The 24,979-nt window shown below is 38.7% G+C and overlaps 2 protein-coding genes across 12 annotated transcripts in view, besides 2 other annotated features; one reads left to right on the top strand and one right to left on the bottom strand.

Moving 5' to 3' along the window:
- The window catches only part of GLRA2 (glycine receptor alpha 2), a 283,034-nt gene that overhangs the window by 222,759 nt on the left and 35,296 nt on the right, over positions 1 to 24,979 (top strand). For all 8 annotated transcript variants that reach the window (XM_047441999.1, NM_001171942.2, NM_001118885.2 and 5 more), the window contains one exon: positions 19,173 to 19,322. In XM_047441999.1, the coding sequence (XP_047297955.1) occupies positions 19,173 to 19,322 (150 nt within the window). The remainder of the gene's footprint in view (positions 1 to 19,172; positions 19,323 to 24,979) is intronic.
- Positions 1,647 to 2,846: an enhancer, noted in NCBI's record as "BRD4-independent group 4 enhancer chrX:14691306-14692505 (GRCh37/hg19 assembly coordinates)". NCBI's record gives its function as "activates an origin of replication core promoter dependent on BRD2, P300/CBP, MED14 and CDK7 cofactors, and independent of BRD4, by STARR-seq in HCT116 cells {active_cell/tissue: HCT116}" and the evidence as "EXISTENCE:reporter gene assay evidence [ECO:0000049][PMID:35650434]".
- Positions 2,290 to 2,584: an enhancer, noted in NCBI's record as "tiled region #3255; HepG2 Activating DNase matched - State 9:DNaseU, and K562 Activating non-DNase unmatched - State 24:Quies". NCBI's record gives its function as "activates a minimal TATA promoter and a strong SV40 promoter by Sharpr-MPRA in HepG2 and K562 cells {active_cell/tissue: HepG2 | K562}" and the evidence as "EXISTENCE:reporter gene assay evidence [ECO:0000049][PMID:27701403]".
- FANCB (FA complementation group B) overlaps positions 17,987 to 24,979 on the bottom strand; it is a 183,546-nt gene continuing 176,553 nt past the window's right edge. For all 4 annotated transcript variants that reach the window (XR_007068184.1, XR_001755674.2, XR_001755672.2 and 1 more), the window contains one exon: positions 17,987 to 20,837. The gene's annotated coding sequence lies outside the window, so the exon portion shown is untranslated. The remainder of the gene's footprint in view (positions 20,838 to 24,979) is intronic.

Here is a 24,979-nt window from a genome sequence, read left to right on the forward strand (position 1 = left end):
CAAGTACCAGGAAATCCAGGGTCTTTATCCACCAACCCCCATCCTTCCATGGTTGAGGACTGCCCCTGGTAGTGTTCTAGGCTTCCTTGCATGCATGTCAAGAAAGTTTCCAAGGTACCAGAGAAATCTCTTAGGCAGAAAAGCAGAGCTTGGGGTGAGTTGCTGAGGGTTTATGTGAGAATTGTCCATTGAATCTGCAAGTAAACTCAGTGTATCTGCTATGCACATAGTATTGCACATGCAATTGTTTTTCCTGAATTAGTACTATTTGCTTCTAAGCAAGGAATTCACTATTTTAGGCAAGTCTTGCCTGGCACATAGAGGCATTCAATGAATAGACATTATCAGATGATACTGAAAGTGCTAAGAATGCAGAGTAGAGGGCCTGAAGGCTGTTACTGGGACTCACAGCTCTGATCACCTTGACATTGGGAACCCATACTGCTATTGATGTGGTTTCCTCTCTCATCACTTTTTATTTCCCTTGAGTCACAGAATCTTAGAATAGCAGAACCCTTGAAAATTATCAGCCCGATCCTTTTATATCCCAAGTGGGAGTGTGAGACCCCAAATCGTGAGATAATGTGCCCAAATTTGCAATGTGAGCCAGTGGCAAAGCTGAGGTCCACATTTTTGGCATCTTCTCATGGCTCTCTCTAACACAGCCTTGCTGCTTTCTCTTACTTTAGATAGTCATACTGGATTGATTTCCGCCAAGGGGCTGAGATTGATCTAAACTTTCTGAAGCAGATGTATGCAACTGATATGTTAGAAACTGAGGCACTCAATGAGCCCAACCAAAATATTTTCACACTTACACTTTATCTTTTAAGCATTCTGTACACTTCCATATTGAAAAATAATAATGCTATCTGATGGCATGGCCTTTTATTTCTTCAAAGAGCTTACACATCTACTTATGTCATTTTACTCAAGAGGCAGTAGGATTTCTTTTTAATCATTACAGACTCCTGTAGGCTAGTATCTATTGCAAATAGGTATTTAACTATTAATGGGTGATTTGTGCTTCTGGTTTTTTTGTTAAAGAGAAAGGAATGGAGCTGACTTGTATCAAAATGCTGCTCAACTATAGGAAGTGGATACAGTAGAGACATAATCTTTGGTAATTTATAACTAACAAAAAGTGAGATCAACAGCCCAGCCAGAAGCTTTTGAACCACATTAATTACAAACCTTTGACTGACCTGTAGCTCCTTTTCTTGTTTTCTCCTCCCCACATGGAACCTGGAGCGTGGTGGATGCCTGGAATTTTTCCATTTCAGTTTCACTTTGAATAGTATGAAACAGTAGGTAGCTGATTAACTTCAAGAGCTTTAGGTTAGAACACACTAGGCTTGAGCGCCCAGAGTGCCATGCCAAGAAGGGAAGGTGTCTGGCAAGTTGGCTCCTATCGAGACATCCTTGATGATCTGCAGCCTCCACTGTGAGCTCACATTAAAGTACAGAGCTGACACTAAATCAGTCCACAAGCCAGAGTCTGGGTCGGAAAGCTTCTCGGCTACCACTGACTCTACCATTCAATTGAAATTCATATTTCACACTATACTCTCATATATTAAATACTCTATGGCCCTCCACTAAAGGAATCCCTGTTCTCATCCCCAGGATGTAGCATCACAGTGCTCAGAGGGTTCAGGTGCATTGGTGGAGAAGTTCAGCACCAGAAGGGGCCTCTTTGTATCCTGGAGTTATCACAAGATTCTAGGTATTCTGAGGAAATGATTTCTCCATCACTGCAACTTGAACTGGGCTTCTAAGACTGCCTCTATTTTGTACTCCAGAATCACCCATTCCCTACATATCTTACCCACTGTTCATCTCAGGAGTACATCATCCATAATTGTTATGAGATGATGACGCATCTGCACATAGTCACTTAACACAGGTACACCCACTCACTCTGGTAAGGTTCTGAGTTTGAGAAATGGTCAGGGGTGAAAGGTTTGGCCACTGCTTCCTTCCTGATTTGGCTCCTCATCCCACTATAGGAGGCATAGGCAACTTGGAAATCATAAACCAACAAGCTCAGTCCAGGGAGTGGAGACCTGTCAGCTCTTCCATATTCCTCTACCCATCACTATAAACCTTACCCACCATTCCAAGGCCTTTCCAAATAACAGTTATTAAACTTCCCTCTTTTATTTCCTTGCTTGTAAGTATGAATTTTGAACCTGGGTTAGGGTAGGGAGTAAATGCACAAATAGTATACAAGTAGTCGAGGCACTAATTGCTGACTGAGAAAACAAATGAAGATTGCGGTTATCTGCCATCTATGAACACTTATCTTCACAGTATGTCCATGGCTGCAGGTGTGACAGTGCTACTGTTGTTTCTTGCTTGCCAGTCCCACTGCATGTACCTTCTCACCTCTTTTCCACATCAGATGTTGTCATCTGGTGTAAGCACAGTCTGTGAGTAATTCTTCTGACTCATCGCCAGAGAGGGAGGTTCCCACAGGGGTCAGTGAGGCAGAAAAGCACAGAATTTGGAGTCAAGCCAGATTTAATGCAAATCGCAGCTCAACTATTCTTTTGCTGTGTGATCTTGGTAAAGTTAATGAGTGAACTCAGCTTCCTTATCCTTATAATGGAGATAACTCATAGAATGGTGGTGGTGTAAGCTTTTTGTTGATGATAGTGGTGGTGGTGATTTTGTTCTGTTTTCTTTTTGTAACAGCATATATCAGTCCCCATGATATACAGGAGTGCTCACTGCAATGAAGTTCCATTTATGTGAACTTAGATTATGTGAATTTAAAGCAAAGCAATATAAAAATACTAACAAAGTCTTAGTCCATGCACAAAACATCAAATACAAGATATTTTACTTTACATTATTCCTGTGGGGAAAACTGCCTTGAATTATGCAAGTTTTGAATTATGCAGTGTCTTCAGGGGCTCATCCCTTACAAGCCAATGTGTCTGAGAATCTACAATCTGCCAAATGAGTGTTAAGTTTTATATAAAGTATCTTATTCAATCCTTCAATGACCCCATGAAACTGGAATGTGTGGGCCCCTACTTTGATATGAAGAAATCAAGATTCAAAAAGGTTAAGTAATTTTTCCAAATTCATTGGTCATTCACCTAGGATTCAAATCCAAGTTGGTCTAGCTTCAAAAATATTCATTATTTTTCCTTTTTTTTCTTTCTTCCATATCTTCATAGTCTCCCAGTTTTTCTCTTCTCTTTCTTTCTCCTTTTCTCTCTCTCTCTCCCATGCACACACACACAAACACACACACTCTCTGACTACACAAACATTTATTAAGTGAAGCATCATCTCATCATCTCCCCAAAGCCCATTGTTGTCTTTCCAATACTGAGATCACCCAATTGGGTCTTTTCTTCATTGAGATTGTTTTTCCACCAGTGGGCAATTTGTTCCGAATCCCCACTTCCCCCTTATTCCTGCCCTTGTTAGATAATAAACATACATCACTTGTTTTGTCACTGAAGGTGCAGGCACAGGAAGTAGACTATGGCAGGAATCAATGTGCTTGTCTATCAGCCAAAAATGTAGTGACGTGGCAGACATAAGCACAGGGAAGAAGATGCTGCATTGCCCTACTTCCTCCAGATGCTAACCCCTCCTTCACCTTGACTCTCTCAGATGCCTACATTTGCAGGAGGCTGAGACTTAGAGGTGCCTTTCTGCAGAGTGTCCCTATGGTGCCTCTAACAATGGATATCACCTGGTGTTGCTTGTGTATTCTAGGGCTGGCAGTTTTACTCTTCTTGTACCTCTCCACTCATGAAACTCACACGGATAGTAAGTTTTGGCAAGCTACTTTAAACAATTTTCTGACCACCATAATGGAGAGAAATGTATTCATCTTTGGAAAGAATATCAACTCACTAGGCCTGTGTACCGTCCAATGCCCAACAAACTAATTGGTCCCCAAAGGTCCATTTATAATTGGGTGGTTCCTGCAGATACCAGGCTTGGAGGCATTGCCACTCAGTGTCTGTTTCTGCAAACAGCACTTTAATAAGTAACTCTTTACTCAACTACTCAGTATAGAACTCAACAATATTAGATATGGAGAGAAAATGGGGTGAGGGTGGTGACACTGGGATGGGCCAGGTAGTCAGTGCTGTCATCATCCATCTCTGCCAAGGAAATCTGATTTCCCCAGCATTAAATGGCAGGTGTGAGCTCCTTAATTAGGCAATAAAAATGGCAACTTGGCAGTGAAACTATAAACATGAAATTGTACAGCACCATGAATCTTTGGCACCAGGATTAACTTGACTATATTTTTTTCTCGTGATACAGTTACTGAATATAGGTAAGAGATCAAACAGAAAAAGCAAAGCCAGAATTCTCATTCCCACCTCTGTTAATTACTAGCTATATAAAGTTTAGATATGCATTTAATAAACTAATTTCCCCCCAAAATGGGAATGGAAAGCATGATGGTATACTTTATAGCACTCAATAAAAGATAAGTTGATTGGAGTTACCAAAGCCTTCTATTTTATGTAACAGAAACACATCTCAGGCTACTGTGGCCAACAGTTATCTCTCATTTCAACAGCTGCATTAATCAAGGTTAATTACATATTTTCCACATATAAATTAGATAAAATGAAATTGTACTGTACAGAAAACTATTCTGCTTTACCAATAGTTTTCAGGCATAGTTTGAGAATAATTAAACATTTTTATTTGTATAAATGTAAGTGGCACAAGTGCAATTTTGTTACATGGATATATTGTGGAGAATAATTAAACATTGACTCAAGCAGGTGGATATGAGGAATCATTCCACTTAAAGAAGGAATATCTGAATATTTTGAGATTGCCCTATGAATTTCATTTTGTTTCTTTTCTATTACAAAACAACACTTGATCATAGTCATTTGTGATTTTTTCTCCACTGTAGTGAACTGCTCTCTGTACACATTCATTAGCAATCCTCCTTGATTAGCTGCTGGAGGAATGTCGCAGTTCTCTGGGGTCAGCCTAGGGGCTGGGAATGTGAATATACTTTAGTTGGCACATTATCACATGGAAGTGCCTTGCCCATGAGGAATGGAGAGGGTATCCAAGCTGTAAGGACATTCAAGTAATCCTTGTACAATGGTGACTCATTCTTCTGTCCTGGGGATAAACATCATGTAGAAAATGTCCCAACCAATAACATCAACTGGCTTCATGGCACAGGAAACAGTACAGTGTCTGAACACAGACAAAACAAATTGTGGGGCTAAAGTAAATAAATTCATGACTTGATTTTCTACTTTGAAACTGAACTAATGATGTAATTCATGAAAAAAATTGACTCAATAAAACTTGCCAAAGTTTTCAAAAATGCCAAGACAGTATTAAAAAGAATATTAATGGGAAACACCTCTAAGAAATGTCTATACAATGCGAAACAACTGAGCAACTAACCAAATTCCACCATCTCACTTATCTGTTCAAACAACAGATAAATGCTTATCTAGCACCATGAAACTCTAAACCACTTGACTGGTTCTACTTTCCCGCCAGATATATTTGCAAACTACATAAGTTATAAAGTCATCTAAATAATAAGTATTCTCCTTTCCGTTAATGAAAATAAATCCAGAGTAATTTGGATATCAACAACTATCATCTCTAAAAGACCAAAACTACATTTTTCTTCTTTTTAGTTGTCTTTTTTTTTTGTAGCTTACCCTTTATATAAAGCAATAATTGTGAAAGGAATTTGAATTTATATAGCACTTGGAAAATTTGACAGTCAACAAAAACTTACAGGGACACTTACTATATGCACAAAAACTTGTCCTTGGTGGCATGGATACAGAAGACATTACTGGATCTATATTCCCCCAAGTATCCTATACTTTAGTTGGGTGGATAAAACACATATGCATGAAGCGAAGACTAAACTGGATGATTCTATCTTTAAGTGCGTTACAAATTCTAAAGATGGGCAAGACGACCGTGGGCTAGAATAGGCAAAGAAATTATCACCTTGGGGATGGAATTTGGTCTACTCCTTGAAGAATTATCTGGAAATAAACAGATATAAAATGTGGGAAATGTTTCTATGCTGGGAGAAGAGTGTAGACCAGGGTTTTTCCACCTTATAACACTATTAACATTTGGGACTGGGTAATTATTTGTCATAAAGAGCTGTCCTTTGCATTGTTGGGTATTTAACAGCATCCCTGGCCTCAACCCACTAGAAACCAGAGCAACTCTTTACTTCCCAGATGGAACAACCAAAAACATCTTCTGGCACTGCTGAATGTTCTTCAGAGCAACATCACTTCTGGTTGAGAACCACTGGACTGGATATAGTTACCTCGGTTTTTTGTTTGTTTGTTTTTGTTTTTGCTTTCTCTCTCTCAGGGTTTTCCAACCTCAGAATTATTAGCATTTCGACTGGATAAGTCTTTGTTTTGGATGCTGTCCTGTGCATAATAGGATGTTTAGAAGCATCCGTGACCTCAACTACCAGATGCCAATAGCACTGCTCCCTGGTTGTGACAATCAAAAATATCTCCAGACGTTGCCAAATGTCCCCTGGAGTGAAAAGTCAACCTCATTTAGGAACTACTGGTGTAGACAAAGTCATCAGTGGGAATGGATTTGGCTTACTCAGGGCTAAGCAAAATTGTTTAAACAAAACACCAAGCTTGTGTTATGAAAGAGTGCAATAAGATTGATTAACTAGGGTAGACACATGCTGTGCGAGGCCTTGAATACCAGAGACTGCAATAGGCAGCCACAGTAATTCCTAAGCAGATGTGTTTCAAAATGAAATTGGTGTTTTAAATTTAATTTCACAGAAGCAAAAGACTAGGTGCCATGGGGAAGAACTGAATGCAGGGGGACTGGTTAGGAAGTTGTTATAATAACCAGGCATTAGGTGTTGATGGATAGGATTAAAGTGACATCTTTGGAATGGAGAGAGTAAAGAGTAAACCCAGGATTGCTTTACAGAGAGAAATGTTGAGTCTGTGCAATAGATTGAGTATTAGAGATGAAGACAATGGAGGGGGAAACAGTGGTAAAACCAGGTTGCTAGTGAGAAGAAAGATTTAAATGAGATGAATAAGAAGGAGGTGGCATTTAATATGTTTAATTTTGCAAATACTAACTAGCTATTTTAGTATTATCACAGAATGCTGCTGTGAGGTCAGGGCTGAGGGAATAATTTGAGAGCTTTGGAAACACAAAACCTTCATATCCTCAATGAATTTATCCACTCCTATAGCTTTCTTCTTATTCCTGTAGCTTGACAAAATAAAAATTTCCTTCTCACTCACATTAAACTCTACTATGGGGTTGGTGGCCCTAGGTCTTTTGGGGATCCAGCCTTCTTCCATCTTACGGCACTGCCATCTTAAACCGGTGACATCTAAGGTGGCTGCAGAAGGTATAGTCTTAAGGGCCTCATGGAAGATTTTAGCGGTCCTAACATGTGTAACTTCTGCCTACATTCCATGGAGGATCCAAAAGAAGTGGCAAATCCAGCTTACTGGTAGAGGAAATGAAATTTAGAAGAATATAGCCAGTCTCTGTTATAGCGCTCAACATACACACCACCACCACCACCACCACCACCACCCTGACACACAGAAATAAGAAGAAAGCTATAGGAGTGGATTAATTCATTGAGGATATGAAGATAGAGTGAAAACTGAGGAGGAGAGTTCAAGAAATGGAAATACCAAATGGAATAAGATGTCCCAAAGAGAGTAAGGAAGATCAGATGATTCAGAGATGTTGGAGAGCCTAGAAGAGAACCAACCTATATAGAGGTGAAAGTGCCAAGAAGACGGAAGGTAAATTTCCATAAGGAGGATAATGTCTACTTTGCTAAGACTCTTGCTTTCATCAGAGGCAAAGAGCATCATGATGATTGTTAAAAAAAAAAAGAAAAGAAAAAGACACCTTATACATCTATACTCCACCTCAAAACCATCATTAGCTTATCTTTACAAATTTTTGAAACCCCAAACCTATCAGCTTGGCTTTCAATGCCTTCTTTTGCCAGCCCAGCCTAACTGTCCACCCCTCACCGTTAACTCCCAGGTGCCCAGCATATCCCGGTCACTGGGTTGCTCATTATTCGCAAGACCACCATACTCTCTCCCATCTTTACAGCTTTGATTTTACAGCTTCTTCTACCCACCAAAGACCTGGCTCTCCTCAAGCCTAAAACAAGTGCTACACCACCTAGGAATAAAGCCTTTACTGATTTTTCCATCGATATTAACCTCCCCGTATTCTACCGACTTTTTGTCCTTCCTTTACTTTGTCATGTGGAACCATCTACTTTATATCACTTATATGTTCATGTGACTGTTTCCCTCAGTAGACCATGGGATTCTTAAGTGGTGAAGCAGGGCCACTAAGATGTACAACCCCAAGAAAAACAAGATAACACTAAAGTCTAGGTCAGAGGCTGGAAAATGTTTTCTGTAAAGAGCCATATGGTATTTTAGGCTTTGTGGCCATTTGGTTTCTGTCACAACTACTCAACTGTACCATTTTAGTTCAAAAGTATCCACAGACAATATGTAAATGAATGAATATGGCTGTCTTCAAATAAAACTTTATTTATAAAACAGGCAGTGGACTGAATTTGATCCATGGACTATAATATGCTGCTCCATGATCTATGTGAATGATACTTTCTAGAGCACAGCATGAGTGGGGTCCCCTGAAATATAATCTGGGAAGTCCTGGGGAGAATTAATATACTTCTTAGTCATCTTTGTATCTTTTACCCCATTTCCCACCAGCACCTAGTAGAGCCTTCAATGTAGTATGCTCTCAATGTTTGTTTTTGTTTTTCTGAATTAAATATGCTATGCCTGAAAAGATACCAACTTAGTTAATCATAACAGCACTTTGAGAACTTCATTACCTTTTAAAACTATCTTGCAAGTTTGTAGTAAAGTAGTTCAAGAAGGAATCTTGTAAGCCCAAGAATCATAAAAATAATGTAACAGGGGAAGATGTGAGCTCAAAACATCTAAGGATTAGCAGCTGAAAGAAGAGAATCTGACATCAGAGCTGGGTAAAAGCAACAAAAAGGCATTTCAGTTCTGAGAAACCAGCACCAAGGAACATCACATCATATGTGATAGATGTCTCACAACACCCTCTAAATCCATGTGAATAATGCATTTAATGCCAGCACTTCAATGCTGGAAAGATGTTCATGATTTGGAGGAAACTCAGAGAGCAACCAAAATGATTAAGAGACTGAAAGGACTCATTTGTGAGCAGCTGAAAAAGAAGCCAAATATGAGCTTGGTCTGCTGATTGCTAGAAGATGGGGAAAAGGTGTATAAATTACTGAATGCTGTAAACACCAGGAAGAGGAGGAATGATGGTCAGCTCTACTGGACTTAGCTCTTGGTAGGCACATATCTCGGGCATTAACACATTCCTCTCATTATTGGGTCTTAAAACATTTATGGGCCATGTGAATAATATATAACTGGAAATGCTGTGATTGGTAATGTTCTATTATTACAGGAAAATAGTATAACTTAATTATACTTTAAGTTCTAGGTTAAAGGTGCACAACGTGCGGGTTTGTTACATATGTATACATGTGCCATGTTGGTGTTCCAGAAGAGCAAATACAAGACAAACTATTAAGGAAGCAAATGTTCCAGGAATGTTAGGCGAGCTAAGAGAATAAAAACTCACTAATAGTACACTCTTAGAAGTATCAAATATATACAATCGTGGGTAACAGTATATCATTCATAACTGTTTAAATTAAAGCACAAAGATGCAAAAATAGCTAGATATTTCCTTCCTTTCCTTCCTTGCTTTCTTCCTTCCTTCCTTCTTTCATTCAATTCATTCATTCATTCAACCATCAGTCCATCCATCATAGATCCATCCACCATGTATTTATCCACCAATCCATCTATCCATCCCACATAACTACTGCCTATGCACTATTTGCTAGGTCCTGTGCTGGTGATACAAAGTAATACTGCACAGGGCCTAAACTAAAAACGAAAACAAAAAAATAAACCTACAGTCTAAGAGTAGGGTCAGGGAATACTTTAAAATATAACTGGCCGGGCACAGTGGCTCACGCCTGTAATTCCAGCACTTTAGGAGGCTGAGATGGGCAAATCATTTGAGGTCAGCAGTTTGAGACCAGCCTGGGCAACATGGTGAAACCCTGTCTCTACTAAAAAATACAAAAGTTAGCCAGGTGTGGTGGCACGTGCCTGTAATCCCAGTTACTCGGCAGGCTGAGGCAGGAGAATCATTTGATCCTGGGAGGCAGAGGCTGCAGTGAGCCGAGATCGCGCCACTGCACTCCAGCCTGGGCAACAGTGCGAGACACCATCTCAAAAAAAAAAAAAAAAAAAATATATATATATATATATATGTATATATATGTGTGTGTGTCTATATATGTATATTTATGTGTGTATATATGTATTTATATATGTATGTGTGTGTGTGTGTGTATATATATAAATATATATAAAATTGTAAGTTGAGTGAGATGAGGGACATCTTCCATGTAAAAAGTGGGCTAAGAAGGAACAGATAAGTTCAATAGAGAGTGATAAGGGAACAAAGAAACATGGCCCCTAACTCAGATGAGAGAAAGGGGAAAGGTCGGGATATTCCCAGGGGAATTGATATCTTGGCTAAGTCCTAAAGAATTCTGAGGCATCTATTAATCAGAAGGAGTGGGAATAACCATCCCAGGTAGGAAGAATAATATGTTTAAAAGACTGGAGATAAAGTGCTAGATCATTTTATCACAACACATGTGGAACTGATACAAGTACTTCAGATTGTTTTAGACAAATAGTGTAAGGCAGGTGGTGATCTTAAAAATAATAATTAGAATATATTATGATTGTGGGTGAGTTTTATGTTCCTTATTAATTTTTGTCTCTTCCAAAATTTATCCATTAACAAAATCACACCCTTCTATGGCCAAATAATTGCAAACATTTATAAGGACTTATTCTGTGTTTGAAACTATTTTAAAATCTTTTTTTTTTTAATTATACTTTAAGTTCTAGGGTACATGTGCACAACGTGCAGGTTTGTTACATATGTATACATGTGCCATGTTGGTGTGCTGCACCCGATAACTCATCATTTACATTACGTATATCTCCTAATGCTTTCCTTTCCCCCTCCCCCCACCCCACGACAGGCCCCGGTGTGTGATGTTCCCCTTCCTGTGTCCAAGTGTTCTCATTGTTCAATTCTCACCTATGAGTGAGAATATGCGGTGTTTGGTTTTTTGTCCTTGCAACAGTTTGCTGAGAATGATGGTTTCCAGCTTCATGCATGTCCCTACAAAGGACATGAACTCATCCTTTTTTATGGCTGCATAGTATTCCATGGTGTATATATGCCACATTTTCTTAATCCAGTCTATCATTGATGGACATTTGAGTTGGTTCCAAGTCTTTGCTATTGTGAATAGTGCCGCAATAAACATACGTGTGCATGTGTCTTTATAGAAGCATGATTTATAATCCTTTGGGTATATACCCAGTAATGGGGTGGCTGGGTCAAATGGTATTTCTAGTTCTAAATCCTTGAGGAATCGCCACACTGTCTTCCACAATGGTTGAACTAATTTACAGTCTCACCAGCAGTGTAAAAGTGTTCCTATTTCTCCACATCCTCTCCAGCACCTGTTGTTTCCTGACTTTTTAATGATGGCCATTCTAACTGGTGTGAGATGGTATCTCATTGTGCTTTTGATTTGCATTTTTCTGATGGCCAGTGATGATGAGCAGTTTTTCATGTGTCTGTTGGCTGCATAAATGTCTTCTTTTGAGAAGTGTCTGTTCATGTCCTTTGCCCATTTGTTGATGGGGTTGTTTTTTTCTTGTAAATTTGTTTGAGTTCATTGTAGATTCTGGATATTAGCCCTTTGTCAGATGAGTAGATTGCAAAAATTTTCTCCCATTCTGTAGGTTGCCTGTTCACTCTGATGGTAGTTTCTTTTGCTGTGCAGAAGCTCTTTAGTTTAATTAGATCCCATTTGTCAATTTTGGCTTTTGTTGCCATTGCTTTTGGTGTTGTAGACATGAAGTCCTTGCCCATGCCTATGTCCTAATGGTATTGCCTAGGTTTCCTTCTAGGGTCTTTATGGTTTTAGGTCTAACATTTAAGTCTTTAATCCATCTTGAATTGATTTTTGTATAAGGTGTAAGGAAGGGATCCAGTTTCAGCTTTCTACATATGGCTAGCCAATTTTCCCAGCACCATTTATTAAATAGGGAATCCTATTTAATGCAGTGCACCAGCATGGCACATGTATACATATGTAACTAACCTGCACATTGTGCACATGTACCCTAAAACTTAAAGTATAATAATAAAAAAAAAAGCAGAATCAGTAGGGCCATGGAGAATTCTTAGCTAAGAATTTTATTATGGGCCTATAATGTCTATGACATTAATTTGATGGGATTTTGCTACGTGAATGTACAGAATAGTAAAACTTGGGTTTCAAAAATAAAAAACTAAAAAATAAATAAATAAATGGGGAATCCTTTCCCCTTTTCTTGTTTTTGCCAGGTTTGTCAAAGATCAGATGGTTGTAGATGTGTGGTATTATTTCTGAGGGCTCCGTTCTGTTCCATTGGTCTAGATCTCTGTTTTGGTACCAGTACCATGCTGTTTTGGTTACTGTAGCCTTGTAGTATAGTTTGAAGTCAGGTAGGGTGATGCCTCCAGCTTTGTTCTTTTGGCTTAGGATTGACTTGGCGATGCAGGCTCTTTTTTGGTTCCATAGGAACTTTAAAGTAGTTTTTTCCAATTCTGTGAAGAAAGGCATTGGTAGCTTGATTGGGGATGGCATTGAATCTATAAATTACCTTGGGCAGTATGGCCATTTTCAGGATATTGATTCTTCCTATCCATGAGCATGGAATGTTCTTCCATTTGTTTGTGTCCTCTTTTATTTCATTGAGCAGTGGTTTGTAGTTCTCCTTGAACAGGTCCTTCATATCTCTTGTGAACTGGATTCCTAGGTATTTTATTCTCTTTGAAGCAATTGTGAATGGGAGTTCACTCATGATTTGGCTCTGTTTGTCTGTTACTGGTGTATAAGAATGCTTGTGATTTTTGCACATTGATTTTGTATCCTGAGACTTTGCTGAAGTTGCTTATCAGCTTAAGGAGATTTTTGGCTGAGACCATGGGGTTTTCTAAAGATAAAATCATCTCATCTACAAACAGGGACAATTTGACTTCCTCTTTTCCTAATTGAAAGCCCTTTATTTCCTTCTCCTGCCTGATTGCCCTGGCCAGAACTTCCAACACTATGTTGAATAGGAGTGGTGAGAGAGGGCATCCCTGTCTTGTGCCAGTTTTCAAAGGGAATGCTTCCAGTTTTTGCCCATTCAGTATGATATTAGCTGTGGGTTTGTCATAGATAGCTCTTATTATTTTGAGATATGTCCCATCAATACCTAATTTATTGAGAGTTTTTAGCATGAAGGGTTGTTGAATTTTGTCAAAGGCCTTTTCTGCATCTATTGAGATAATCATGTGGTTTTTGTCTTTGGTTCCATTTATACGCTGGATTACATTTATTGATTTGCATATGTTGAACCAGCCTTGCATCCCAGGGATGAAGCCCACTTGATCATGGTGGGTAAGCTTTTTGATGTGCTGCTGGATTCGGTTTGCCAGTATTTTATTGAGGAGTTTTGCATCGATGTTCATCAGGGATATTGGTCTAAAATTCTCTTTTTTTGTTGTGTCTCTGCCAGGCTTTGGTATCAGGACGATGCTGGCCTCATAAAATGACTTAGGGAGGATTCCCTCTTTTTCTATTGATGGCAATAGTTTCAGAAAGAATGGTACCATCTCCTCTTTGTACCTCTGGTAGAATTCGGCTGTGAATCCATCTGGTCCTGGACTTTTTTTGGTTGGTAGGCTATTAATTATTGCCTCAATTTCAGAGCCTGTTATGGGTCTATTCAGGGATTCAACTTCTTCCTGGTTTTGTCTTGGGAGGGTGTATGTGTCCAGGAATTTAACCATTTCTTCTAGATTTTCTAGTTTACTTGCGTAGAGGTGTTTATAGTATTCTCTGATGGTAGTTTGTATTTCTGTGGGATCGGTGGTGATATCCCCTTTGTCATTTTTTATTGCGTCTATTTGATTCTTCTCTCTTTTCTTCTTAGTCTTCCTAGTGGTCTATCAATTTTGTTGATCATTTCAAAAAACCAGCTCCTGGATTCATTGATTTTTTGAAGGGTTTTTTGTGTCTCTATCTCCTTCAGTTCTGCTCTGATCTCAGTTATTTCTTGCCTTCTGCTAGCTTCTGAATGTGTTTGCTCTTGCTTCTCTAGTTCTTTTAATTGTGATGTTAGGTTGTCAATTTTAGATCTTTCCTGCTTTCTCTTGTGGCATTTAGTGCTATAAATTTCCCTCTACACACTGCTTTAAATGTGTCCCAGAGATTCTGGTATGTTGTGTCTTTGTTCTCATTGGTTTCAAAGAACATCTTTATTTCTGCCTTCATTTCGTTATGTACCCAGTAGTCATTCAGGAACAGGTTGTTCAGTTTCCATGTAGTTGTGTAGTTTTGAGTGAGTTTCTTAATCCTGAGTTCTAGTTTGATTGCACTGTGGTCTGAGAGACAGTTTGTAATGATTTCTGTTCTTTTACATTTGCTGAGGAGTGCTTTACTTCCAACTATGTGGAAGTAATTTTGGAATAAGTGTGATGTGGTGCTGAGAAGAATGTATATTCTTTTGATTTGGGGTGGAGAGTTCTGTAGATGTCTATTAGGTCTGCTTGGTGCAGAGCTGAGTTCAATTCCTGGATATCCTTGTTAACTTTCTGTCTCGTTGACCTTTCTAATGTTGATAGTGGGGTGTTAAAGTCTCCCATTATTATTGTGTGGGAGTCTAAGTCTCTTTGTAGATCTCTAAGGACTTGCTTTATGAATCTGGGTGCTCCTGTGTTGGGTGCATATATCTTTAGGACACTTAGCTCTTCTTGTTGAATTGATCCCTTTACCATTATGTAATGGCCTTCTTTTTCTCTTTTGATCTTTGTTGGTTTAAAGTCTGTTTTATGAGAGACTAGGATTGCAAGTCCTGCCTTTTTTTTGTTTTCCATTTGCTTCGTAGATCTTCCTCCATCCCTTTATTTTGAGCCTATGTGTGTCTCTGCATGTGAGATGGGTCTCCTGAATACAGCACACTGATGGGTCTTGACTCTTAATCCAATTTGCCAGTCTTTGTCTTTTAATTGGAGCATTTAGCCCATTTACATTTAAGGTTAATATTGTCATGTGTGAATTTGATCCTGTCATTATGATGTTAGCTGGTTATTTTGCTCGTTAGTTGATGCAGCTTCTTCCTAGCCTCGATGGTCTTTGTTTTTGCAGTGGCTGGTACTAGTTGTTCCTTTCCATGTTTAGTGCTTCCTTCAGGAGCTCTTTTAGGGCAGGCCTTGTGGTGACAAAATCTCTCAACATTTGCTTGTCTGTAAAGGATTTTATTTCTCCTTTACTTATGAAGCTTAGTTTGGCTGGATATGAAATTCTGGGTTGAAAATTCTTTCCTTTAAGAATAGTGAATATTTTTCCCCACTCTCTTCTGGCTTGTAGAGTTTCTGCCAAGAGATCTGCTGTTAGTCTGATGGGCTTCCCTTTGTGGGTAACCCGACCTTTCTCTTTGGTTGCCCTTAACATTTTTTCCTTCATTCCAGCTTTGGTGAATCTGACAGTTACCTGTCTTGGCGTTGCTCTTCTCGAGGAGTATCTTTGTGGCATTCTCTGTATTTCCTGAATTTGAATGTTGGCCTGCCTTGCTAGGTTGGGGATGTTTTCCTGGATAATATCCTGAAGAGTGTTTTCCAACTTGGTTCCATTATCCTCGTCACTTTCAGGTACACCAATCAGATGCAGATTTGGTCTTTTCACATAGTCTCATATTTCTTGGAGGCTTTGTTCATTTCTTTTTACTCTTTTTTCTCTAAGCTTCTCTTCTCGCTTCATTTCATTAATTTGATCTTGAATCACTGATACCCTTTCTTCCAGTTGATCGAATCGGCTACTGAAGCTTGTGCATGCGTCACGTAGTTCTTGCGCCATGGTTTTCAGCTCTATCAGGTCATTTAAGGACTTCTCTACACTGTTTATTCTACTTAGCCATTTATTTAATCTTTTTTGAAGGTTTTTAGCTTCTTTGTGATGGGTTCGAACTTCTTCCTTTAACTTGGAGAAGTTTGATCATCTGAAGCCTCCTCTCAACTCGTCAAAGTCATTCTCCTTCCAGCTTTGTTCCACTGCTGGCGAGGAGCTGCATTCCTTTGGAGGGGGAGAGGTGCTCTGATTTTTAGGATTTTCAGCTTTTCTGCTCTGTTTTTTCACCATCTTTGTGGTTTTATCTACCTTTGGTCTTTGATGATGGTGACGTACAGATGGGGTTTTGGTGTGGATGTCCTTTCTGTTTGTTAGTTTTCCTTCTAACAGTGAGGACCCTCAGCTGCAGGTCTGTTGGAGTTTGCTGGAGGTCCACTCCAGATCCTGTTTGCCTGGGTATCAGCAGCGGAGGCTGCAGAACAGTGAATGTTGCTGAACAGCCAATGTTGCTGCCTGATCTTTCCTCTGGAAGCTTCATTTCAGAGGGGTACCCGGCCATGTGAGGTGTCAATCTACCCCTACTCAGGGGTGCCTCCCAGTTAGGCTACTCGGGGGTCAGGGACCCACTTGAGGAGGCAGTCTGTCTGTTCTCAGATCTCAAACTCCATTCTGGGAGAACCACTACTCTCTTCAAAGCTGTCAGACAGGGACATTTAAGTCTGCAGAGGTTTCTGCTGCCTTTTGTTTGGCTATGCCCTGCCCCGAGAGGTGGAGTCTACAGAGTCAGGCAGGCCTCCTTGAGCTGCTGTGGGCTCCACCCAGTTCAAGCTTCCAGGCCGCTTTGTTTACCTACTCAAGCCTCAGCAATGACAGGCGCCCATTCCCCATCCTCGCTGCTGCCTTGCAGTTCGATCTCAGATTGCTGTGCTAGCAATGAGTGAGGCTCCGTGGGTGTGGGACCCTCCGAGCCAGGCGCAGGATATAATCTCCTGGTGTGCCGCTTGCTAAGACCATTGCAAAAGTGCAGTATTAGGGTGGGAGTGACCCGATTTTCCAGGTGCCATCTGTCACCCCTTCCCTTGGCTAGGAAAGGGAATTCCCTGACCCCTTGCGCTTCCCGGGTGAGGCAATGCCTCACCCTGGTCCGGCTCACGCTCGGTGGGCTGCACCCACTGTCCTGCCCCCACTGTCTGATAAGCCCCAGTGAGATGAACGTGGTACCTCAGTTGGAAATGCAGAAATCCCTCGTCTTCTGCGTCGCTCAGGCTGGGAGCTGTAGACTGGAGCTGTTCCTATTCGGCCATCTTGGAACTTCTTTCTGAAACTATTCTAAAATCTTTATGTATATTAAGTGATTTTATCCACTTAACAGCTCTATGAGGTAGGTACTATTATTGCTCCTATTTTAGGGATGAGGAATAGAGGCAGAGAGAGGTTAAATAACATAACTGAATTATACAGATAGTAGCAGAGCAGCATTTCCTAATTGGGGCATCTTACTCCAGAATCTCTGCTTTTATGTCCACTGTGCTCCTGCAAACCTTCTAATTCAAGAGCCTGTTTTCATATCTTTACTTCTGTAACTCACCTAAAAGTTGATCCAACAAATAATCAGGGACACAGTCAAGTATTTTGGGAGAAGAATGTTCATAGCAGCAAAACTTACAGTCATAAAATATTAGATAGAAAATAACCTATATGTCCTACAATGTAGAATGTTTAATCATGGTATAGACCATTAGGCAAGCATTAGAAATTATGATCTAGAAGAAAAATAAGTAACATGGGAAATGCTCAGTATAAAGGTCAAAGGGAAATGCAAAGATACAAACTGTGATCCTAGCAATGTGTTTGTGTGTGTGTTCAGAAAGGAAATCCATTAGTCAGACTGAGTTCCAATTCCAATCTTGACTCTGTCATTTATTACTTTTGTTACCTTGGATAATAATTTCATCCCTCTTTACCCCAGTTTTCTCATCAGAAAATTGGGATGAGTTGTTGTAAGGGTTAAAAAATTCACACATGTAAAATGCTTAAAATACTGGCTGGCAAGCACTTGACAGCTATCAAAATATAGGAAACTCTATTTAAAAATTAGAACTGAATAGTACACATTCAGATGGTAGTTTAATAAGTATTCTTTGTAGTCTAGGATCCAATATTTTATAGCTTCCTCCAATTATTTTTCCCTTTTACACTTGAAAAAATAATTGTAAGTCGAGTGAGATGAGGGGCATTTTCCATTGCAAGCAAAAAGTATTTGCTTTCAGAATCTACTTTGTCAAATTATAAGACTTACTAAACACTTAAGCAAACACTGAAGGGTTATCAAAGTTTTCTTTTTAACCAGATACCTTCTCAAGGCTGTATTCCTCATATTTTACTTTGGTTGAATACTCTTTAATTGTGAGGATTTAAAACTATTTAGAACTGTGTTTTCATGTCAGTTAGGATCAGTAAATTGAAGAAAATTACAAATTGGCTTTTGAAGAGCCTAAGGCCATATATAGTTTATTTCTCATCCATGTTTTGAAATTATCTTAATTATATTGATTTTTAAATTTCAATTTAAAAAATAGAAGTGAGCAGTTTGAATAATAGCACCCATCTATTTTGCCTCAAAGTTTTGTTTTTCTTGTCTAATTAAGAGAATAATTATTTTTAATTGATAAGTAAAAATTGTATATATTTATGGTGTATAACATGTTTCAATATATGTACACATCATGGAATGTCTAAATTGAGCTACTTAACATATGCATTATTTCACATATTTATTTGTAGTGAGAACACTTAAAATCTGTCATTAAGGAAATTCTTGAAGTCATTGGAGCTGGTCTCAGGAATAAAGCTACTGGTTCAGGGGCGTGTGACTTTCAGTGCTCTGCCCAGAATCTTCAAAGTAGAATCAATGGCTTAAGCACTTTCTTAAGAAAACGCTGGAAAATCATTGACCAAGGAAATTAGGTTATTTTGCTGCTCACACCATTAAGAATCTGGTTTCCTGGCAGGCTTTCATAGTCTTTCTTTCTCTCTCTCTCTCTCTCTGTGTGTGTGTGTGTCTCTCTCTCTCTCTCAGGTCTCCTATGTAAAAGCGATTGACATCTGGATGGCGGTGTGCCTTCTGTTTGTGTTTGCTGCCTTACTGGAATACGCAGCGGTGAACTTCGTCTCCAGGCAACACAAGGAGTTCCTGCGCCTCCGAAGAAGACAGAAGAGGCAGAATAAGGTATGATTGCCCCTCAGTTCAGACAATGTAGAGCTTGAGTTGGTTAGCTAGGCAATGTAATTCAGAAAACAGAAGAGCACACAATAAGCAAGAAGCCAAGGTTAATTTTTGTTCTGATTTGTCCTACTACACTGACTTAGTGCTCAGCTTAGGCCTTTAAAATTGGGGAGGATTGTCAGATTCAGCAAATAAAAATACATATCATGGAGTTAAACTGGAATTTCAGATAACAAGAAACAATTTTTAGTATAAGCACATACCAAATATTGCATGGGACATACTTATACTAAAAATTGTTTATCTGAAATTCGGAAGTAACTGGGCTCCCTGTATTTATCTGGCAACTCTAATTGGGGATATATACTTGATTTGACAAAGTTACTTTAAAATCCTGGTTCTTCTAAATATTGACTGTGTGTGTGTGTGTGTGTGTGTGTGTGTGTGTGTGTGTGTGTGTGTGTGTGTGCGCGCGTGCGTGCGTGTACATCACTGATCTGATTGACTTTTTTTCATCAATTGCTCTGGCTTTATGTAAATTATGCCGTACCCATGTAGATTGCAACATGATAAATCCAGTGAGACTGGCCTCATTATCTCAACTTAAACTTTAGTGCAGAATTCTAAGCTTTACACTGTCCAGAGACTTCAGGTTTGAAATGCATAGCTCAAGATCTCCAGTCCTGTGGTTCCCAAACTTGCCTGCACATTAGAATCGCCTGGGGATATTTTAAAAATCCCAAGCCTTAGACACACCTTACACCAACTAAACCTCAATGTTAGGAGGGGCACCAGCCTCTGTATTTCTGCAGCTCCCCAGGCAATTCTGGTGTGCAGACATGCTTGGAAAGCACTGTTCTGGTTTATAACCCAATCTCATAGAGGCTATCAAAAGGCTTGCACCTGTTTTCCATTTCAAACTCTGGGAGAGAAACATACCCTTTGATATGAAGAATGTTACCTCCTGTAACAATATTGCTTGAGAACTAAAGTTAACATTTTATGTACAGTAGAGAGAGAAAGATTTTTCAAAATCTGTTCCAGAAAATATTTGATAAATTAATCCTGCTGGTGAAGTAATAGTTATATGCTACTCTGTTGGAATGAAAACAAAAATATTTCACAGTCCCTATTAATGCTGCAAATACCTAGATGTAAAGCTGAATATTTGTTGTGAGACATTGCTTATATTGAGGAGTTTATGTGGGTATGAGCTCACTGAGTTCTGACTGCATCCACTGAAAGGTTTCCTGCACATACTCTGGGCTGGAAGAGATAAATCTATCCTGTTAGCTGCCCTGTCTCACTCTTCGCTACCTCTCAGGAACATTTTGTCCTGCCATAGATAAGGAAAACAAGTAAACAAGCACAAATATCCTCTTTGCTGTACATTACCTTTTAATGTTGTGCCTTTCTCAATTTTCTCCTCACTGCCTCCCTGTTGGTGCTAACGTTTCTTTAATCACATTCACAGAAGTCCAGCACACAGCAGCAAAAGTTCAGGATCACTTGTGCCACCTAGAAAATATTCTTACATTACGATGGTATTTCAACACAAAACAGTACAGAGTTAAAAGAATTCATGCTGCAACTGTCTATTGGTCAGTGGATGGTTTAAGTCCTTCAACAACTTCTTTTACATATGGTAATACTGCTCAGGTTTCCCAAACTTACCTTATCATAATGAGACTCACCTAGGACCCTTGTGAAACATACTAATTCTCAGCAAAATTCCTTTCAGATGTTGATTTATAAAGTTGGGTGGAATACAAGAATCTGTACCCTTAATAAGCACTCTAGGTGATTATTATGATGAGATAAATTTAAGAAACACTATCCTGGCTTACTGACTGCATACTCTCCTAGACCAAAGATGGAAAATGGGTTTCATTTTGCTTCCCAATTCTAAATAGTTGTTAGGGAATTTTTGAAATGCTGTGTGAAGGATTCTTAGACTGTACCTGGGCTCTGTGGGAATGAGATCTGTCATCAATTAGCAATGTCTGGCATTACATAATAACAGATATTAAAGACTAATTTTTAAAAAAGTATAACTAGCAAACAAGGGGGGTTGGATATGGAATAATAAACAGACAAAATCAATCTAAAGCACCAGCATGGCACATGTATACATATGTAACTAACCTGCACATTGTGCACATGTACCCTAAAACTTAAAGTATAATAACAAAAAAAAAAAAGAAAGAGGGAATGCAGAACCAGACAGACAAAGAGAAAGCAAATAGAGAAGTGGTAGATTAAACCCAAATATATTATAAATGCAGTAAAGAAAAATAGAATAAATACCTCTATTAAAAGACAAACATTTTCAGATGAAATTTAAAAATAAAACTCAACTTTAGTCAGCCTCCAATAGGCACACCTATAATATAAAGATAGAGAAAGCTTCAAAGTAACTGTGGATAAAGATATCTCATGCAAACACTAACCAAATAAAGCCAGTTTAGCTCCATTAATATTAGATAAAGTAGACTTTAAGACCAAAATTATTACTAGAAATAGAGATATTTCATAATCAAAATGATCACTTCAATAGGGGGATGTGATTACTATAGATATGTCTACAACGAATAACATGGCCTCAGAATACACCAAGTTTAAATTGACAGATATAAAGAAGAAATAGACAAACTCACACTCATAGTGAGGAATTGTAATATACCTCTCAGCAACTGATAGAAAAAAAGCAGACAGAAAGATCAGTAAGGATATAAAACATTTAACAACATAATTAACAAACTACACCCTCAAATGCAGTAAACATATACTTTTCAAGTCAGAAGAAACATTTTGGTATATTTATCATGAGTTGGACTATAACGCACCTCATAACAAATATCAAAACACTGAAATAATATTATCTGAGTAAATAGAATTAGGCTAAAAATCAATGGTACAAAGATAACTAGAACATCTCTATAAATTGGGAAATAACCAAATACTTCTGAAATAATTCAGGAATCAAAAAGAATTCACATTGGAAGTTAGAAAATATTTTGAATTGAAAGATAAATTGTACATATCAAAATATATGAACTGAGCTAAAGCCATGCTTAGTGAAAAATGTATACTTCAAATGCATATTTTATAAAGATGGAAAGCTGAAAACTGATTATCTAAGAATCTATTTCATGGAGACAAAATGAAGAATAAGATATTAAATCCAAAGAGTGTAGAAGGAGTGAAAAACTATGAAAAAAAACACAAAGAGCAAAAATTAATAAAATAAAAGAATGGTCCATTAAGTTTACTGATTATCTTGTCATGAATGTTTTCAAATCAGCATTTGGGAAGAACCAGATTGCAGTAGTTTAAGGTAGGTGAGGATATGGAAAAAGCAAGTATAGATTACTTGAAAATTTAGCTCTCAAAGGGAGAGAGGGTAAAACAAATTTCTGCACAATCTCACTCCCTGTCATCATTAGACTACTCACAGGTTAAATATATATATTCATTCAAAAGATGTTTATTGAGCACCTACTATGCTTAAACATGGAAAGCTGTGAATATAGTAGAGAATGAGAGGGACAAAGAAGTAGAAAATGAGGTTGAAAAATAGGTAATTTCAAGATTTATTTGCAAGCCAGTATAAAGGATTTTATTTTATTCTAAGTGATTGGAATCCACTAGTTAGTTTCAATATAGCAAATAGGCTATTGAGTGGATAGTTGTGGTGTCAAGAGTAGCAGCAGATAAGTTAGGAGGCTATTGTAGAACTATAGGTGGAAATGTTGATGGCTTAGATTATGGTATTGGTCATGAGAATGAAGGAAAGTGGTTAGGTTCAGGATTCTTTCATTTGTTCCACAAAAATTTATTTACTTCTTACTATGTGCCAGGCACTGTGTAAATCCTTAGAATACGTTGCTTCACAGGACAGAAAAAAATGCAGCCTTTTGATGAAACTTACATTCTAGTGGTTATGCTTTGGAGGTAAAACCAATAGGTCATGCTGATGCATTTTATGTGAAGAGATGAGAAGATGAATTGAATATGACTCACAGATTTTTGGCTTAAGCAACTGGGTAAGTAGTGTTACCATTTATTAAGATGGGGACTATTGTGACAAGCGCAGATTTGGAGTGGAACTTGAGTCACATTTTTATGCTCTTAAGTTCAGATGCCCATGAGACATCTCGATAGAGTTGGCAAGTAATTAGATAGAAATATATGTTCAAGAAAGGGATAAAATCTGGAAATGTATATTTGGCAGTGACCAGCAAACAGATACTGTTTTAAATCCACAAAACTAAGTGAGATTACACATTGAGATAACAGAAACAAAAAAAAAAGCTCTGAGAATGGAGCATTCCATCATTTAGAAAGCCTATCTAGAGTGGATTGGGCAGAAAAAGGAACAAAGGAAATGGTGACAAACCTTAGATATCACTTGCAATTGCCTTTACTGTGCAGGGGAACATAGAAGATGGTATGGAATAAAATGTGTGCTCATGGGGGGATATATTTTTTCCAAAATGGAAGATAAAAGAATGCATTTGGCAAAGGAAAAGGGAGGTATTCACATTGCAGTGAAAGGAGGGCATAATTTCAAGAACAAATGTCTTAAGAAGGTGAGAAAAAATAAAATTCAAAGCAAAGGGTCAGGGTTGGCATTACATGGAGACAACTATTTCACCCATTTTAATAATGACTTAAATTATTGCCAGTTCATAGATGGAGATACTGAAGCACAAAGAGGTTAAATAGCTTGCTCATTCTCATGAGCCAAGAAGTGGTGTAGTGGGTCTGAAGTGAGATACTGTGTTCCCAGAGTCTGTGTGCTTCACCATTGTACAAACAAAATGGGAGAATGACTATGGTTGCTAGCCAATTGGTATGTCCAATTATGATAGGATGTAGGAGCTCCTAACTAATAGCTCCTATCATGTCCATGAATTCTGAGGCTATCAGCTAAGAGTATGGTGGAAAAAAGAAACATAGGTTTGAGGAAGAAGGATCAAGTATTAAATAGTAGTTTGGGAGGGTAAAAAAGCCATTCCTCCAAGAAGAGTAATGGGGCAGAATGCTGAGGCAGAGGCAGTGGGAGTGCCCATATGAGAACTGTGGTTATGACTTTAAAGTGTGAACAATCAGGAGGTATGTGTTTCCCCCCAGCAAGCTTCCAGGATCAGATTCAGGTACTGAGATAACAGGTACTTCGGTTTAACTACAATTGAAGTTTTGCCAAATGAGCAGGAAAGTGAGTGGAAGACAAAGAGAAGACAATAGAGGAGTTGAAAGAAGAGAATGTAGAAGGGAAGAAGGAAGGAAGAAAGAAACCAAGAAAGGAGAAGAAGGGAGGGAGAGTGGGAGGGAGGGAGAATGGGATGGAGGGAGAGTGCGAGGGAGGGAGGGAGGGAGGGACGGAAGTGAAGTTAAGGGAGGTTGCATGGCAGTAGTTGCAGTGATGAACCAGAAATTCTAAGGTGGATAGAGAGGGGAAAACACGGAAGAGACACTGTATTCAAGAGAGAGAAAGAGAGAGACTCAAAATTAAGATTTCACAGGAAGTAAAGACAAAGATAAGGTTATGATCATAAATAAGCATGTGTGACTAAGGTTGGGTTGAGAAAAAATTATTGACAGCAAGGCAGTCCAGGAATTGGAAGGCCGAGGATGGGGTCTATTATCCATATGAA

The sequence above is a fragment of the Homo sapiens genome, chromosome X, assembly GCF_000001405.40.
Source record: "Homo sapiens chromosome X, GRCh38.p14 Primary Assembly".
Lineage (NCBI taxonomy): Eukaryota > Metazoa > Chordata > Mammalia > Primates > Hominidae > Homo > Homo sapiens.